The sequence below is a fragment of the Homo sapiens genome, chromosome 3 (genome assembly GCF_000001405.40).
Source record: "Homo sapiens chromosome 3, GRCh38.p14 Primary Assembly".
In the NCBI taxonomy this organism is placed as follows: domain Eukaryota; kingdom Metazoa; phylum Chordata; class Mammalia; order Primates; family Hominidae; genus Homo; species Homo sapiens.
The window spans coordinates 83,967,152-83,983,351 of NC_000003.12; the positions used below are offsets into that span (position 1 = coordinate 83,967,152).

General features: G+C 35.9%; 1 long non-coding RNA gene across 7 annotated transcripts in view; it reads left to right on the forward strand.

Moving 5' to 3' along the window:
* Positions 1-16,200, forward strand: part of LOC105377188 (uncharacterized) — a 98,853-nt gene that overhangs the window by 13,502 nt on the left and 69,151 nt on the right. For 2 of the 7 annotated variants that reach the window (XR_001740800.2, XR_001740799.2), the window contains exons 2-3: positions 1,687-1,803; positions 3,335-3,422. The exons of 1 other annotated variant lie outside the window; for it this stretch is intronic. This is a non-coding gene — a long non-coding RNA (uncharacterized LOC105377188). Of the gene's footprint in view, positions 1-1,536; positions 1,594-1,686; positions 1,804-3,334; positions 4,330-16,200 lie in introns of all 7 variants that reach the window. 4 more of the 7 variants (XR_007096263.1, XR_007096266.1, XR_001740795.2 and 1 more) reach the window with 4 other exon arrangements.

Sequence of the window (16,200 nt, forward strand, 5' to 3'; positions counted from 1 at the left end):
ATGCAAACCATAGCACTGCCAGTAACTGAAGAAACACAGAAAGCAGAACTATAACTAATGGGGGAAAAATACAGACATATACATACACAGTGGAATAGAATACTTCTCAGCCTTAAAAGAGAAGAAAACCTTATCATTTGCAAAAACATAGATAAAACTGGAGGACACTATATTGCATTTTTCTCAGTGAGATAAGCCAGGCAGAGAAAGACAAATACTGCATAATCTCACATATGTGTGGAATTTGAAAAAGTCAGACTCAAGGAAGATGAGAGTAGAACAGTAATTACCGGGGGAAAGGGTAGGGTAGGAGGAAGATCAGAGGAATGGAAAGATGTTGGCTAAAGTGTACTAAGTTTCAGAAAGATAGAATAATTTCTGAAGATCTATTTTGTGCAGGGTGACTATTGTTATTAATAATGCATTATATTCTTGATAATTGCTAAGCAAGTAGGTCTTTAATGTCCTCACCACAAAAAGCATAGCAAGTACATGAAATAATGGATGTTTACTAGCTTCACTGAATCATTTAGAAACATTTACATATATACAAAAACACCATTATACACCCTAAATATATGTAAGTTTTTACAATTATACTTATACCTTAATAAAGCCGGGATGGAGGGAACAATAAAACACTGTGAAAAAAAGTTTGGAAATTGTTATATGGAAAGTTTGTGTTTTGTCAAATTCATACGGCAAAGCCCTCACCCCCAGCAGGATGGTGTTTGAAAGGGGTCCTTGGGAGGTAGATAGGGTTGGATCAGGTTAGAATGTGGGACCTTTATAATGGGACCTTATTAATAAGAAGGAGAGAGAGAGAGAAAGATGACATGGAACCTTGATCTTGAACTTCCCAGTCTCCACAATAGTGAGAAATAAATTTCTATTGTTTAAGCCACTCAGACTATGGTATTTTTTTTAAATGTCAGCTCAACCTAATATAAAAATCAAGAATTGAAAATGTATATAATAGATAAAACTTATGATTAACATTACAAATAAGACAAAGAATGGCATTAGATAATGATACAAGGTAAACATACTAACAGTATCAAACCCTTCAGCAACTAATTACATAAAGTAAACTGTATTAGAAATTCTAAGAGAATTTGATACAAATGAAATTATTGAAGTGAGTGTAATATATCTCTTTAATAATAATAAATAGTAGATAAGGCCGGAGCATAGGGCTTGGAGGCAGGGAAAATAAGGACTTCCTAGAATTAAATCAAACAGAAACACCAGCTATGACAGGAAATATCCTCTTCATTTACATAGGGTGTACAGCGAGTAAATAATGTTGTAACTTTACTTTATTCTCCTCATCTACATAGGGCATACACCAAGTAACCAATGGAAATTTCAGAGGAAATTTAAACCCCAGAAAATTCTGTAACTGGGCTCTTGAGCCACTTGCTGGGGCCTGCTGCCGCCCTGTGGAGTGTGCTTTCGTTTTCAATAAATCTCTGCTTTCGTTCCTTCATGCTTTCCTTGCTTTGTGTGTTCATTTTGTCCAAATCTTTGTTCAAGACGCCAAGAACCTGGACACCCTCCACCGGTAACATATTTTGGCGAGCCAGACAAGAGGTAAGCCCAGAGTTTGGGATTTATTTTTCACCTTTTCCTTTCTGCTCCATACAGTGGAATCTCTCTCTCTCTCTCTTTTCATTTCCAACTCAGGACCCTTGGTGGGCAGTGCCTAAACAGAGACAACTACAGGTTTCTGGCTGTGGCCACTCTCTGGTGAAACTAAGGGGTTTCTGTGTGGAGGTGCCTAACAGCCACCGTCCAGTTTGGGTAAGGGACCTGGATTTTTTTCCCTTTATTTCTTTTTTCTCTCTTTCTTTTTCAGGCTTTTGATGGCTGCTTCCTAGTATTAAATAGCTCCTTAGTAACTGAGCGCAACTGTCCAGGGCCACTCTCTGGTTTACCTGAAGGGCAAGGAGTAAAGGGGGATAGCTACCATGCCTGGAAGGGGGAAGGATTTTTCTGTCTTTTCCAGTTGTTGTCCCTGATCCCTACATGTGGGACAGCTTTTCCAGGGTGAACTCGCATGCATTTCAGGTGACTTAAACATTCTTTTCCTATGCTAAATTCTTCCCTTCCCCTACTCTACTGGCTAGGGACGAAAGAAACCCACCCATCCTCCAGTTCCTGTCATTACAGTTCATGGCTATCACTCTAGTGCAGTGGGAAACATGGAAACACAAGGCCTTATGAAATTATAAGGATGCTAGAAGTCAAGGCCTTCATCCAGGGACAAAAGGAAAGCTCATAGTAGGCCATCACCTCTGGAGGGAAAACATGCAAAGCAGCACCAGTGCCCACCTGAGGTCAAACATATCTGTCCATCTAAGATTGGACTCCAGAGGGGGACACCCCAGGGAATCCTCTGGACCTCAACCTCTCCAAAGGGGATGCCCTTGGTAGAGGTCCCCAGGTCAAGTACTAAGCCCTTCTTAGAATTTTCTCTGCCAGTTGCAATACTGTTTCACCACAATACTATTTGGAATCTGGAGTTTGCTGTTGAATGGGAAAGTGGGATGGAATTGCATGTATCCAGGCTTTTGTGCTGCTGTTCTAAGCAGGGGGCCTGGTTAACATGTCATCCTCTCCTGTGGTACTGTTTGGTCCCAGTGTTAGAGTCTGGGAAGGTTTAACCTTTAAAAATTAAACTGTCAAAGCCCATCTCTACTAAAAAATACAAAAAATTAGCCAGGTGTGGTGGCGGGCACCTCTAGTTCCAGCTACTTGGGAAGCTGAGGCGGGAGAATGCCCTGAACCCAGGAGGTGGAGCTTGCAGTGAGCTGAGATCGTGCCACTGCACTCCAGCCTGGCGGGCAGAGTGAGACTCCGTCTCAAAAACAAAAAACAAAAACAAAAAACAAAAAACAAATTAAACTGTCATGTAAACTGCTTTAGTTTTGTGGTGAGCTTGTATTGCTATCTCATGGCTAGAGTCCCAAGATAAAAGCTATTGAAACTTCACTTGTATGTATACACAATAAACTCATGTCTAGATTTGTTTATTTGTATGTTCACTAATTGTTACATGCTGTGTCTACTGAATTCGCTTATAAGTAAAAGACTTTTCATAAATTAAGTAAATAAGTGTAAGCAATTTTACTTACTGGTCAGGTGCCTAAAGTGAATTTCCTGATTGCACAGGATGTATGGTGATATTAGTGAACTTAAGGATATTGCATTGTGTAACAGGAACAAAATATTTATTATGTGGGTTTTGGGGGGCCCTGGGGAACACTGTAGCCTCCATGATAGATTGAGTAGGATAACAATAGATTATTATGCTACCTTGTATTTTCACCAGGTAAAGAAAGCTTTTTATGGTTCACTAAGGACAATCAACCCCTTCGCAATCTAGAACCAAAAGACTGGATCTTCTGAGAACATCTACTGTAAGAACTATAGTTACACAACAGACTTTGAATTCTCTTGTGAAAGTTAAGGTAGAATTGGCTGAACAGAGGAGTATCTGTGCGGCTGCTGGCATTTGTGGCTTATGGAGAAACACATTAAATGAAGATTACAGAGATTCATTGGCAGGGGATTAACAGAGATTGCTTAATTAAGTGAGTAGGCTCACTATCTAGCTCATTCTTTGATCTATTTGATTTTAGGTGGTTTGGTTTATGGGGACCCGGGGAAAGAAGCATACTCCAAACTCTTAGTATTATCCTCCCGATGGTTATAATAATAGTTGTCCTGTTGTGCTGTATTTTCTGAAAGGTTTTAAATGCTTGCATGCAGCCATCTCTAGAATGTCAAATGGTCTCTCTTCAACTGGAATGACAAGAGCTTAAAGAAACATGTGACCATGAGGAAACCATAAACTATGAATAATGTGTTGAGACCAGAAACCCAAAATGATGGTAACTGAGTGGTGCTAAGGCCCTAAGTTTTGGTCACACTCTCACCTAAGTGAGAACTTGACCAAAAAGGAGGGAAGTTTTTAAAACAAAATTGTGGGAAGTCATTTGTTTTGATTGAGTTCATGCACTCAGCCCCAACAGATCAAACCAAACCAAAATGGAGTTGCTTGTGTTAAGACTATAAGGAAACAGATACATTCTAGAACAGACCATGTTTTGTTTTTCTCCTGCAAATCTCTGTAACAAACATTCCTGACAACATAGGCATCCACTCCCTGAAGTTCCCATTAAGTCTTTTAACTAAATTCACTTCCTCTGGCCTAGAGACCATCAAGCTTCAGATGCTCATGTGACAAGGGTTCCAGCCAGTTCCAGGTGAAGACACCACTCCTAGCCATCAAGGAACTACCCTGTCTCCACTAGACAGAGAAGGGTGAGAGTTCTGTGATCCTCAACAGATAGGGACCATGCCCCAAGCCAGCATAAAGCAATTACAGAAGAAAGACCATTGGTCTCTCCGCCTCCCATATAGATGTATGGGGATCACGCCTTTCACGTGGGGAATGAGGCAGGAGAACAGGGCCTGGAGGCAGGGAACCCTAAGTACTTCTTAAAACTAAATCAAATGGAAACACTTCAGTCATGACAAGAAATATCCCCTTCATTTACATAGGGCATACACCTAGGAAATGACTTTGTAACTTTACTTTATGCTCTTCATTGACATAGGGCTTACAACAAGAAACCAGTGGAAATCTCCAGAGGAAATTTAAACCCCAGAAAATTCTGTAACTCAGCTCTATGCTGGAGCCACTCCCACCCTGTAGAGTGTACTTTCACTTTCAGTAATTTAAACCCCAGAAAATTCTGTAACTCAACTCTATGCTTGAGCCCACTCCCACCCTGTGGAGGGTACTTTCACTTTCAATAATTTAAACCCCAGAAAATTCTGTAACTCAGCTCTATGCTTGAGCCCACTCCCACCCTGTGGAGCGTACCTTCACTTTCCATAAATCTCTGCTTTCGTTGCCTCATTCTTTCCTTGCTTTGTTTGTGCATTTTGTCCAATTCTTTGTCCAAGATGCCAAAAACCTGGACACCCTCCACTGGTAACAATAGATAGGGGGAATATAGAACAATTTAAGTAAAAACCAGTTTAGAAGATGTATAAGAATTTTTTCGTTAAAGACTTAAAAGATGTGCCTTTTTTTATCTGTGTCCAGGGAAAAAAACACAAAAATGGGATATGAACTTTGTCACAAGGAAATCTTGAAATTTCCAAGAAGTGAAACTTTATTGTATGCCTTAAACTTTTAGAAGATATACTAAATCCATAGGTAATATTATAACTAAATTATATAAAGACAGACAAATCCAAAATCTGGTTCTTTGAATGTGTTAAAAAAGATAGAGTAAGAAACAATGTACAGGAAAAACAAGCAAACAACAATGACAAAAAACAAACAAACAAAAACCATCTCTGAATCTTACTGAACAGAAAAGAGGAGAGATGAAATATACACGTTAGTAGTTAGAGGAGAATAAGACCACTCAATAAGTAGAGTTTGAAACAACAGAAGTTTGCTAGGTACAACCCTATGGTGATAGTTATTTATTGTGTATCTAATTACCCTAAAACTTAGTGACTTAAATCAGCAACATTTTCACTATATCAGTTTCTGTTCCTCAGAAATCCAGGTGTGACTCAGCCGTCTCCCTTGGCTCAGGGCCTTTCTTTCTCAGAGCTGTGATGAAGGTGTCAACTAGGACTGAAATCATATCAAGCCTCAAGTGAGGGAGGATTTTCATCAATGCTCATCACTTGCTGTTAAGATACCTTTCTTCCAAAAAATGCTCACCATCACTGGCCATCAGAGAAATGCAAATAAAAACCACTATGAGATACCATCTCACACCAGTTAGAATGGCAATCATTAAAAAGTCAGGAAACAACAGGTGCTGGAGAGGATGTGGAGAAATAGGAACACTTTGACACTGTTGGTGGGACTGTAAACTAGTTCAACCATTGTGGAAGTCAGTGTGGTGATTCCTCAGGGATCTAGAACTAGAAATACCATTTGACCCAGCCATCCCATTACTGGGTATATACCCAAAGGACTATAAATCATGCTGCTATAAAGACACATGCACACTTATGCTTATTGCAGCACTATTCACAATAGCAAACACTTGGAACCAATCCAAATATCCAACAATGATAGACTGGATTAAGAAAATGTGGCACATATACACCATGGAATACTATGCAGCCATAAAAAATGATGAGTTCATGTCCTTTGTAGGGATATGGATGAAATTGGAAATCATCATTCTCAGTAAACTATTGCAAGGACAAAAAACCAAGCACTGCATGTTCTCACTCATAGGTGGGAATTGAACAATGAGAACACATGGACACAGGAAGGGGAACATCACACTCTGGGGACTGTTGTGGGGTGGGAGGAGGGGGGAGGGGGGAGGCATAGCATTAAGAGATATACCTAATGCTAAATGACGAGTTAATGGGTGCAGCACACCAGCATGGTACATGTATACATATGTAACTAACCTACACATTGTGCACATGTACCCTAAAACTTAAAGTATAATAATAATAAAAAAAAATACCTTCTTCCTAGGTTAGACTACTGCCTCAGCTTCTTGTTGATTGTCATGCAGTGGCCTTACTCTGTTTCCTTCGCCATCAGATTCTCCATGGGGTACCTTACAACATGGATGTTTTCTTCATTAGAATGAGCAACAAGCAAGCAAGGAGAGTTAGAAAGAGAGTGGGAACAAGACCGAGAATAGCCTTTTTTTTTTTTTTTTTTTTTTGATATAGGGTCTCGCCCTGTCTCCCAGGCTGGAGTGCAGTGGCTCCATCATGGCTCACTGCAACCTCCACCTCCCAGGCTCAAGTAATCTTCCTGCCTCAGGCTCCAGGGTATCTAGTACTATAGGCACACACCACCACACTTGGTTAATTTTTTATTTATTTATTTATTTTTGGTAGAGACAGAGTCTCGCGATGTTGCCCAGGCTGGTCTCAAACTCCTGGGCTCAAGTGATCCCCCTGCCTTTATTCCCCAAAGTGCTGGGATTACAGGCATGAGCTACTATGCCCGGCACATAGTCTTTTTTATAAATCTCAGAAGTGACATCTAATCACTTTTGTCTTTTTCCGCTGTTTTTAGCAATGTATTAGGTGTTGGTCACACTCAAGGGCATGTGATTATACCAGAGCATGAATATCAGAAAGAGGCAAGGATCACTGGAATTCAGTTTAGAAAGATGCCTACTGCTGGTGACAAGTTTAAAAACAAAATTTAAGGATTTTTTTATTTCTAAAAAATAAGGTATCAAAACATACAAAAGGAGAAGTAGGATACTTAAATAGAACAATAAATATAGAAGATATTTCAAATGTGATTATTAATATTATTAGATTGGTGTTTCATAATTTCTTTCTGTCTTAAGAGAGCAATATTTTAGTTATTTAAACTTTCCAGACTATAAATAAATACTGTATTTTTTGTAATTGTATCTAATAAACCTAGAGTGACCTATTGCATCATTTGATTTTACTTATTATATTGTCCCTGCTATTCTTTATCATTATTTGTTCATACATTTTGCTCACACATTTGTTTAGTTGTTTCCTTTCTCCCTACTTAACAATTAAGTTCAATGTTCTCTTCCCTGAAAATGCTTCTTCAAACAATATGGTTTCAGTGAAAGTTATACATATTATTACCTGTCTCACCAATTATCATCTCCTGCCCTCAGTCATCAAGATAAACACAGAATATAAAAAGGGCAAGTAAAATACTATAATCTTTCCCTAAGCTATGCCAATTTAGTGCTGATTTGCTGGAAGGATTATCTCTCTGCTTCCTCTTTCTTACAACTTCAGCTACTTGAATTTGTTTTCTATTATTTACAATTAGAGAAACCTGACTGGTATAACATCTAACACCCTTTCAATTTCATCACCACTTCAATGCCAATGATCCTTGTTTGTACAACAGCCTCTCCTATATTCCTATAAGACTTGCACAATTTTGGTTATACAATAGAACTAACATCTGGGTAAATGGGTCATTGGCTTTAGTGCAGGACTAATAGGGAATACAAAGTAGGGAGTAAACATTGCATCTCAGAATGCATGACTTAGAGGAAGCAGAACATAGGATTGTGCTTCATGGACTCATTGTAAGGCAATACAGTCTCTATGCACACAGATAATTTAGATAATTCAATCAGTACCACAGATACAAGGAAGACAGAGAAAACTACAGAAACTGGAAAAATAAAAGGCTTTAATCCCTTTCCAGAGTTTTTAAACTTTATTAAGCAAGAGACTTGGAGAAAACCCAATGATAATAAGTGGTAAGAGCAGAACCATAGAAAACATGACCTATTATTATTTAGTTGTCCTATTGTACCCCCAGACTGGTGGTATTTTCAGGAGCAATATTTATTTATTAAATTATTAATAAAGAGTCCTTTTGGTATGCTTCCTCAGGATTATAGAGAATAGTGATTTCCATTATAGTAAGGATTAGGTGTAATTATATCTCTTAATATCTTCTTACTTTGGATTGTTATTCTTTTTTCCTTGACAGTTTACTGGCTACCTTGAAGAGTTAGTAAATTATGTATATACAAGTCATTCTAGTATTATGTCACATTTACAGATACTTAAGGCATAAGTAATTAGATGAAATTTTATGACTTTGTGACAATTAATTTACTAATGGCATTTGTTATGTTGGTAAGATTATTGTATGTAACTTAGTTTTTTGAACTTTAGCAGTACTTGATTTTAGAAAAAATTGCATTGTTTTTCTTTTGAAAGTTCTAATATACGATTTTATGTTGGTTTTGTTTATTATCAGTACTATTACTCAAAAAACGCTGTATGATATTGTTTCACATTAACATATTAACTAATCTATCAGGAATTGTATTTCGTGATTTCCTTTTAATTTATATGACTCCAACCTTATATATGAAGTTAGTGAAAAGAGAAGAGTAAACCGAATATAGGATAGCTTGTAATCTCAGTAAAGATAATGTTTCATAATAGGCTTAGTACTACTTATCTTCATAAGTATGTAAGATTTAATACTAAAGTTATCCACTAAGATGTGAATAAATATTAAAGTAAGTAAGCAAATGATAAAGCATCTAGACTGTATTTAGAATTATTTCAATTATAATCTTGTGATATATCTACTCCTTGAAACTGTGTCTAGTTATTTTTCTTTCACATTAAAACTATATCCACCATTTTATTTGCTTATTAACATTTGTGAGTTAATGTTTTCCTAACAGTTAAGCAGAGAAAGTAGTATAAAACGCATTAAATAAAAATAGCTATAGGAAATATCAACTACTTAAAAATTTTTCTGCTTACTAAATCAATTAATTCTTAGGTATTTGTGAAATATTAATTTCTGCCAATACACAGAAAAATGCATTGAGATTTTTGGTTAGGATTATTTAGGAATTAGTCTGTTTACTAGCATAGTTCTGTGACTTACCATAACCAGAACCAAAAATAATACAAAACTTGTTTAGCCCAAACATATCCATGATTTGAAATCAACACAAAGCCACAGGATATATAGTACTTATCAGCTAAGATTTGCCATGGGTCAGGAGCCTGACAAATTTGAACTGGGTCCTCTGTTCAGGATCCGACAAGGCTGAAATTAAGTGTTGACTGGGTAAGTTCTCAATTTGAGGCTTGACTAGAGAAAAACCTGCTTCCAAACTTTCTCAGGTTGTCGGAAGGAATTGTTTCCTTGCTGTTATGTGACTGATATTCTCATTTCCTTTTAATTTAATTTAATTTTTAAAAATTTTATTTTAAGAATATGTGATAACATACATATCTGTGGGGTACATGTGAGTGTTTGTTACATGTTAAGAATGTGTAATGATTAAGTCAGGGTAAACGAACTACCCTTCACCTTTAATGTTTACCACTTTTATGTGCTGGTATCATTTCAAGTTTCCCATTCTAGTTACTTTGAAATATACATAATGTTATTGCTAAGTCATCTTAGTCCACTATCAAACATTGGAATGTATTTCTTCTATCTGACTGTGTTTTACTCATAACTAACTGTATTAGTCCATTTTCCGACTGCTGATAAAGACATACCTGAGATAGGAAAATTTACAAAAGAAAGAAGTTTATTGGACTTATAGTTCCACATGACTGGGGAGGCCTCACAATCATGGCGGGAGGCAAGGAGGAGCAAGTCATATCCTTAATGGATTGCAGCAGGCAAAAAAAGAGCATGTGCAAGGAAACTCCCATTTTTAAAACCTTCAGATCTCGTGAGACCAATTCACTATCACGAGAAAAGCATGGGAAAGACCCGCCCCCATAATTCAATCATCTTACTGGGAGAATTATGAGGGCTACAAGATGAGATTTGGGTGGGGACACAGAGCCAAACCATATCATCAACCTATCTTCATCCACCACTCCTCTCCTACCCAGTCTCTGCCATCCATTGTTCTATTCTCTATGTCCATGAGATCAAATTTTTAGCTCCCTCATAGGAGTAAGAACACACCCATTGTTTTTTTTCATAGTCGTGAGCAAGAGACTGCTTTCAGTTTCCAGGTATCACACTCTGGTTCTTGCCACATGACCCCCATTCCCATAGCTTCTCTCACACTTTAAATATCTTCCCTTAGTAAAGGTCTAATTCCTTTTATTTACTTCTGTATTTATTTATTATTTATTTTTATTTTATTTTATTTTTGAGACAGGGTCTCCCTCTGTCACTCAGGCTGGAGTACAGTGGTGGGTTCTTAACTCCCTGTAACCTCCGTCTCCCAGGTTCAAGCAATTCTCCTTCTCCCAAGTACCTGGGATTACAGGCATGCACCATGAGGCCCAGCGAAATTTTTTATATTTTTAGCAGAAATGGTGTTTCACCATGTTGGCCACTCTGGGCCTAAAATCCTGGCCTCAAGTTATCCGCCTGCCTCGACTTCCTAAAGTACTGGGATTACAGGTGTGAGCTACCACACCTGGCCTCCAGTTTCTTTTAAAGGCTCACCTGATTGGATCAGTTCTACCCAAGATAAACTCCTTTTTTTATTATCTCAAAGTCAACTAATTTGGGATCTTAACTATATCTATGAAATCCCTTTAATTCTGCCTACATTCAAAGGGAGGGGATAATCCAGGGGGTGTAAACCAAAACATAGGAATCTTGGGAGCCAGTTCTGAATTTTGCCTACCTCAGTGGTTTTGCTGATAGAACATATGTGACTAGGAGAATCCAAAAGGAAAGTTGAAAAACATGCAAATACCCTTACTTCTTTGTTACAAAGAATTGTATGCAATAATTTTGAAACACTAAAATATATAAAATATTTTAAATTATTTTTCCATCATTCTTGTATAATATAGTCAGTAGCCTAAATGTTTCAAGATACACAGGTATCTGAAAGTCTTAGTTCATGCCCAGTAAACTCTATACACCAAATTGGATATCTCATTATCTGCTTGATTATGGAAATGAAAATTCTCCATTAAAGGATCAAAAATCAAAAAGGTTTCTCTGTTAAGTTCTAATCTTCTTTCTGAAAAGAAACATCTATTTAAATAATATAATGATAATAATATATTATACAGTTTCATATTCCCTTGACTTTGCCTACAGAAAACTCTAACTCATATTTCTCCTTATCCATTAAATCTTCACAAGCCTCTTATATTTATTTTTTACCCCTTCGTCTAGTTCTCATCTAATTTCCAGAGTAGTGCATATTTATGAATCGTTCAATTATTTACAAATACACAGATGATACATGCACCTCTTTTAGTGCACACTATCTTACTGGGAAATGTCAAAACTATATTTTAAAACAGAAATTACATCTTCTGAAGTAGAGAGACTAATTGTTGAAACACCATACAAGAATGAATGCAGTTTGGGACTTCATGATAGGTGAGTTCTGAGAAAGTTCTTTTTATGAGTTGGAGGGAGTCCCATCCATTGGGCTGAGAATGGTATATGGGCAGTAACTCAATGTATCACGTAGCTGACAAAGAAAAGCAGTAACCATTGGGACTTTAGAAAATGGCACAGTATGGTGTTTGAATCACCTGAGCAGACAGGAGGAGGTTAGCAAAAGGAAAGTTTTTTTGAGAAAAAGCATGTTCATGTGTATAAAAACACAAGGTAGAAGTCAATCTACTTAAAAATAATTGCCAAAATGTTCATATTGGAAAAAAGAATATTGATCAAGATCAGGATTCTACTTCAGTTAGTCCAGTAACAAGGGTGCCTTGCTATTAAATTCCAGAATATCTCCAAAGGTGAAAAATAAAGCTAGAGGCTAAAATTAGGTTTTCCACAGGTGTGGGTCAAATATCACCCTTAAAGAGGAATTAGAAAAAATTAAAGTACAAGGCTAGGACTGAATAACAAAAAATCTTTAAATCGATTTGTTTTATAAAATAAAACTATATTTTCTAGTACCAAAATTAATAACACTATGGCTTATTAAATTATTGAACACATTTTTAATTATCAGAAAATGATTCAAAATAAAATAGTATGTCAGGTTATTTCAATAAGGTATATGTTTAAAGGAGCAGGAATAAAATAAAAAATATTTTTTATTAAGTTATCCTCAAATCTTATAAAAATCTTCATTTTGGAGATTATTCAAAGATTTTGAAAAGAATAACTTTTTTAAAGAAAGAGCTTTTTACTTTTATGACAATAAAAATATTTGGAATAGTAATTTTTAATTGTTCATAGATTTTGATTTGCTTTATAAATCATATGACTTTAAAAATCAATTAATATTAAGTATTAGCCAGGATATTTGTTTAATTTCAGAATACACTGAAGAAACTACTTCTTATTGTGATCTGGCACTTTATAGATCTTCTATTCACATTCTATCTCTTATAATTGCTTGGCAGTTAAATACAAGTTTGATAATATGTAAAAGCTATACCAGCTAGTACTGTGCATTTGTAATTAACTATGTAATTTTAAGTGATCAAAATATTGTCCATGACTATGCTCAATTAAAATCTAAAAATTAATTATATTAATATATGCTAAATTTATTAGTGGTTGTGCCTAGGTAGCTAGGAATTTATTATTGTGTTTATATAGCCATCTGTTCTAATTCCATATCCAAAGTTATTGGACATTATCCAAAAATGTGTAGCTATTGTAGACCTAAAAAATGTTAGCTGAAATATTTTACTAAACAAATAATAATTTAAAATAGAGCACTCTTTTAGAGTAGAAAAAATATAAACTAGTAAATGAATTTGGGCTATTCATCTATAAGACCAGTTTCCCTGAAATTATCTTTAGGGGAAAATCTCATATTCGCTTAATTGCATATAACAAGAGTGTAAAAAAGGGGAAATTAGTAAACGTCTTTTTCTCAACTCTTTAGTTTTAGTTTCAAAGTTTAAGTTTCACACTCATAAAATCTGCATGTTCTTTGGGTGCTTGATATCACGTTTAAATATTCTGAAGTAAGATTATGAAAAGACTATTATTTAACGTAAATGACTAGTCTTCATCCCTATGAGTTTCCCTGTGTTTTGATCATCATTGTCATTTTCTGACCATCTGTTTATTCCGTCACATTAATTGAGGGTATTGGCCCCTGTCTTCTTCCCTCTCCTTTTTAAGTACCATCATTCTTCCTTAATGATTATAGTTTCTATGAGAATAGCCTCTATTAGCATTTATTACTTTTAAGGTCAATCTCTCTATTTGTGAGCATTAAACAGGTAGTGGTAATCTTGCTCAGCCTCACTCTGGCACCATCTCCGTGCATGTTAGTCAGGATCCAACCTCTATGAGGTAGAAACCACACAGTAATTTGAAGAGTTTAACATAAAGAACTATTGACTATAGGAAGGGATTAGAGTAATGAGGAATTGGCTACTGAGAAGTAAAGAGAACTCTAAAGAACACAGGAATAGCATATTGATGTGCAGCTACTACCCTTAGAGCTGAGATAGAACACCCATGGAAGAGGATACTCCAGGACAAGATCCAGACCTTGTTGAGGAAGCACAGCCTTGGCCATTGAGTGGCAAATTCACAGGGCTGCTGCCTGAAGAAATTTCTGGAAAAGTGTCCTCCAGAATTTGCCATAAGTCAACCCCTTAAAGTGTTAAGGAAATCTCCCCACAGGGAGATGTATTATCAGAGGGACTTCTTTAGGAAACTACCAAAAGGGGATTTGCATTTGAGTATTATTACCCAAAAAACTATGGAATACAATAATGATTTAGGTTATTGAAATTCTTTGTAAACTAAAATGTTGAAAAAACTAAAGAGGGCAGAATGTATGATCTACTTGAGCGTATTTCAAAATTAACCAATACAGAAAACTATAATCTGACTGTCTATACAGCATAAAAACCAAGTCCTCAATTTTTCCTGTCAATCAATAAATCAGTCATTTCTATGTACTCAAATGGCATTTTAAAAAATTGTTATGTAATTACATCAAAATCATCAAATAACTATCATATAAACAGGGAATTAGATGACATTAAAAAAGACAATTATGTAACAAAATACAAAGATTTCAGGAGACATCACTCTCATTAAAGTTTAAAAGTCTGAAAGTAGGAAAATAAAATAAAATTGCATTTTTTAAAATGCAATTTTAAAATGCAATTTTAAAAGTAGTTGACTTTCTACTTTTTTTTATCCTTTGGCCTTAGTTTAGACTATATTGTTTCATAACTTCAATATATTTGACCCTAGCTCCGAGGTGGGAGTTGGCAAGATGAGAAACTTCAAACCTTGATTTTGAAACCCCCAGTTCAAATGTTCTGGGGTGATACTGTGAAGAGACTATCCTTAAAATAAATGATTTGATCTTCAATCAAGAAAAGTGTTAACTTCCTGGAAAGATTTCAGTTTCCTGCTCTGAAGTACTCAATTTAGCAATTTCATCAACTTTCACTTAACCATGTTATTGAAGAGAAACAGAGGCATGAATAATCTAAAAGTACAGTTAATTTTAAAGGAATATATATGAGATGATTTTCTGCAGTAAGTTTAACTTTCTAGTTATGTTGTATCTCAGCTAATAATAAAATTAGTTTTTCTTCCTCAGGGTGTAATAATTGGTAGCTAAGTAAAATGATGTGATAAGGGAGAGCCAAGCACTTTTATTAGTTAACATGAAAATATTTTTAAGCAGTACATGCATATGTGATGAGTTGAAAATTGCTGATAATAAAGAAAACTTGCTGTGTGTGAAAAGCTGGAGAATCAAAACAACTGACCCTACATTGTGAGATAGACTGGACTAAATACATATCCACACTAGTGAGGTGGATAGACTCTACTAGCCAACCTTCCATGAGTCAATGTATTTAACAGCATTTTGTAAATTACATAGAATTACATAAATACATGAATTGGAGGTTATCAAATGTTACTTTTTTGGTGTGATGCATGAACTTTTCTTAATTTCCATTATTATATGCGTAGAAAGCGCCTTTTTTAATGTTATTTTTTCCATGCTTTCTATTTTCTTATTTCCCATTTGATCAGGTAGGCAAGTTCTGTGATTTTTTTTTATCTCAAAGAATGATTCTAGTACAAAATTGTTTCCAAAAGCCCAGCCCTACAAAATAATAAGGTTGGCAAGAGATAGTTTCCTATAAATTAAGAAGAGAAACTCTTTGGATGTAGAGCAAAAGAGGGCATGAGAGAATGGTTTGGGAGAAGTCAAGGAATATGAGGCATACGAAGAGGTCATTGAGGAATTTCCAGCTCATACCAAATCAACAGAAAGCTCAATCTGCTGAGACAAGTAAGCATGGAGAAACTACACTAGCTAATGGGAAAGGCACAGTCTAATAACTAACAGCAACAACAAATGCAACCACCTTGAGAAAGCTCTAGGGAAACTGAAGCCTTTCTAGGAACAGTGTATGTAGTGGTCTGGTGTCTACAAAACTTGATTTGAAGAAGAGAGAGACTACTTTTGAAGAAATAGTTTTAGTACCATTGCTTTCTTATTCACTGACTGTATCTTAGCAATTAGAGGCAATAGAAAAAATATCAGGACCAAACCTACACTCTATGCATGCGTGAAATTGATGGAAACTATTGTGGCTTGACCAGTCATTCATAGTCATTGATTTTTCACCCCGCCCCCAAGATCACTAAGTTTACCAACTGCCAACTCCAAATGTTTCTCATAGTCATGATCACGGATATATAAAAATGTAATGCATGATAAAGGTGGTATCACAAATGCA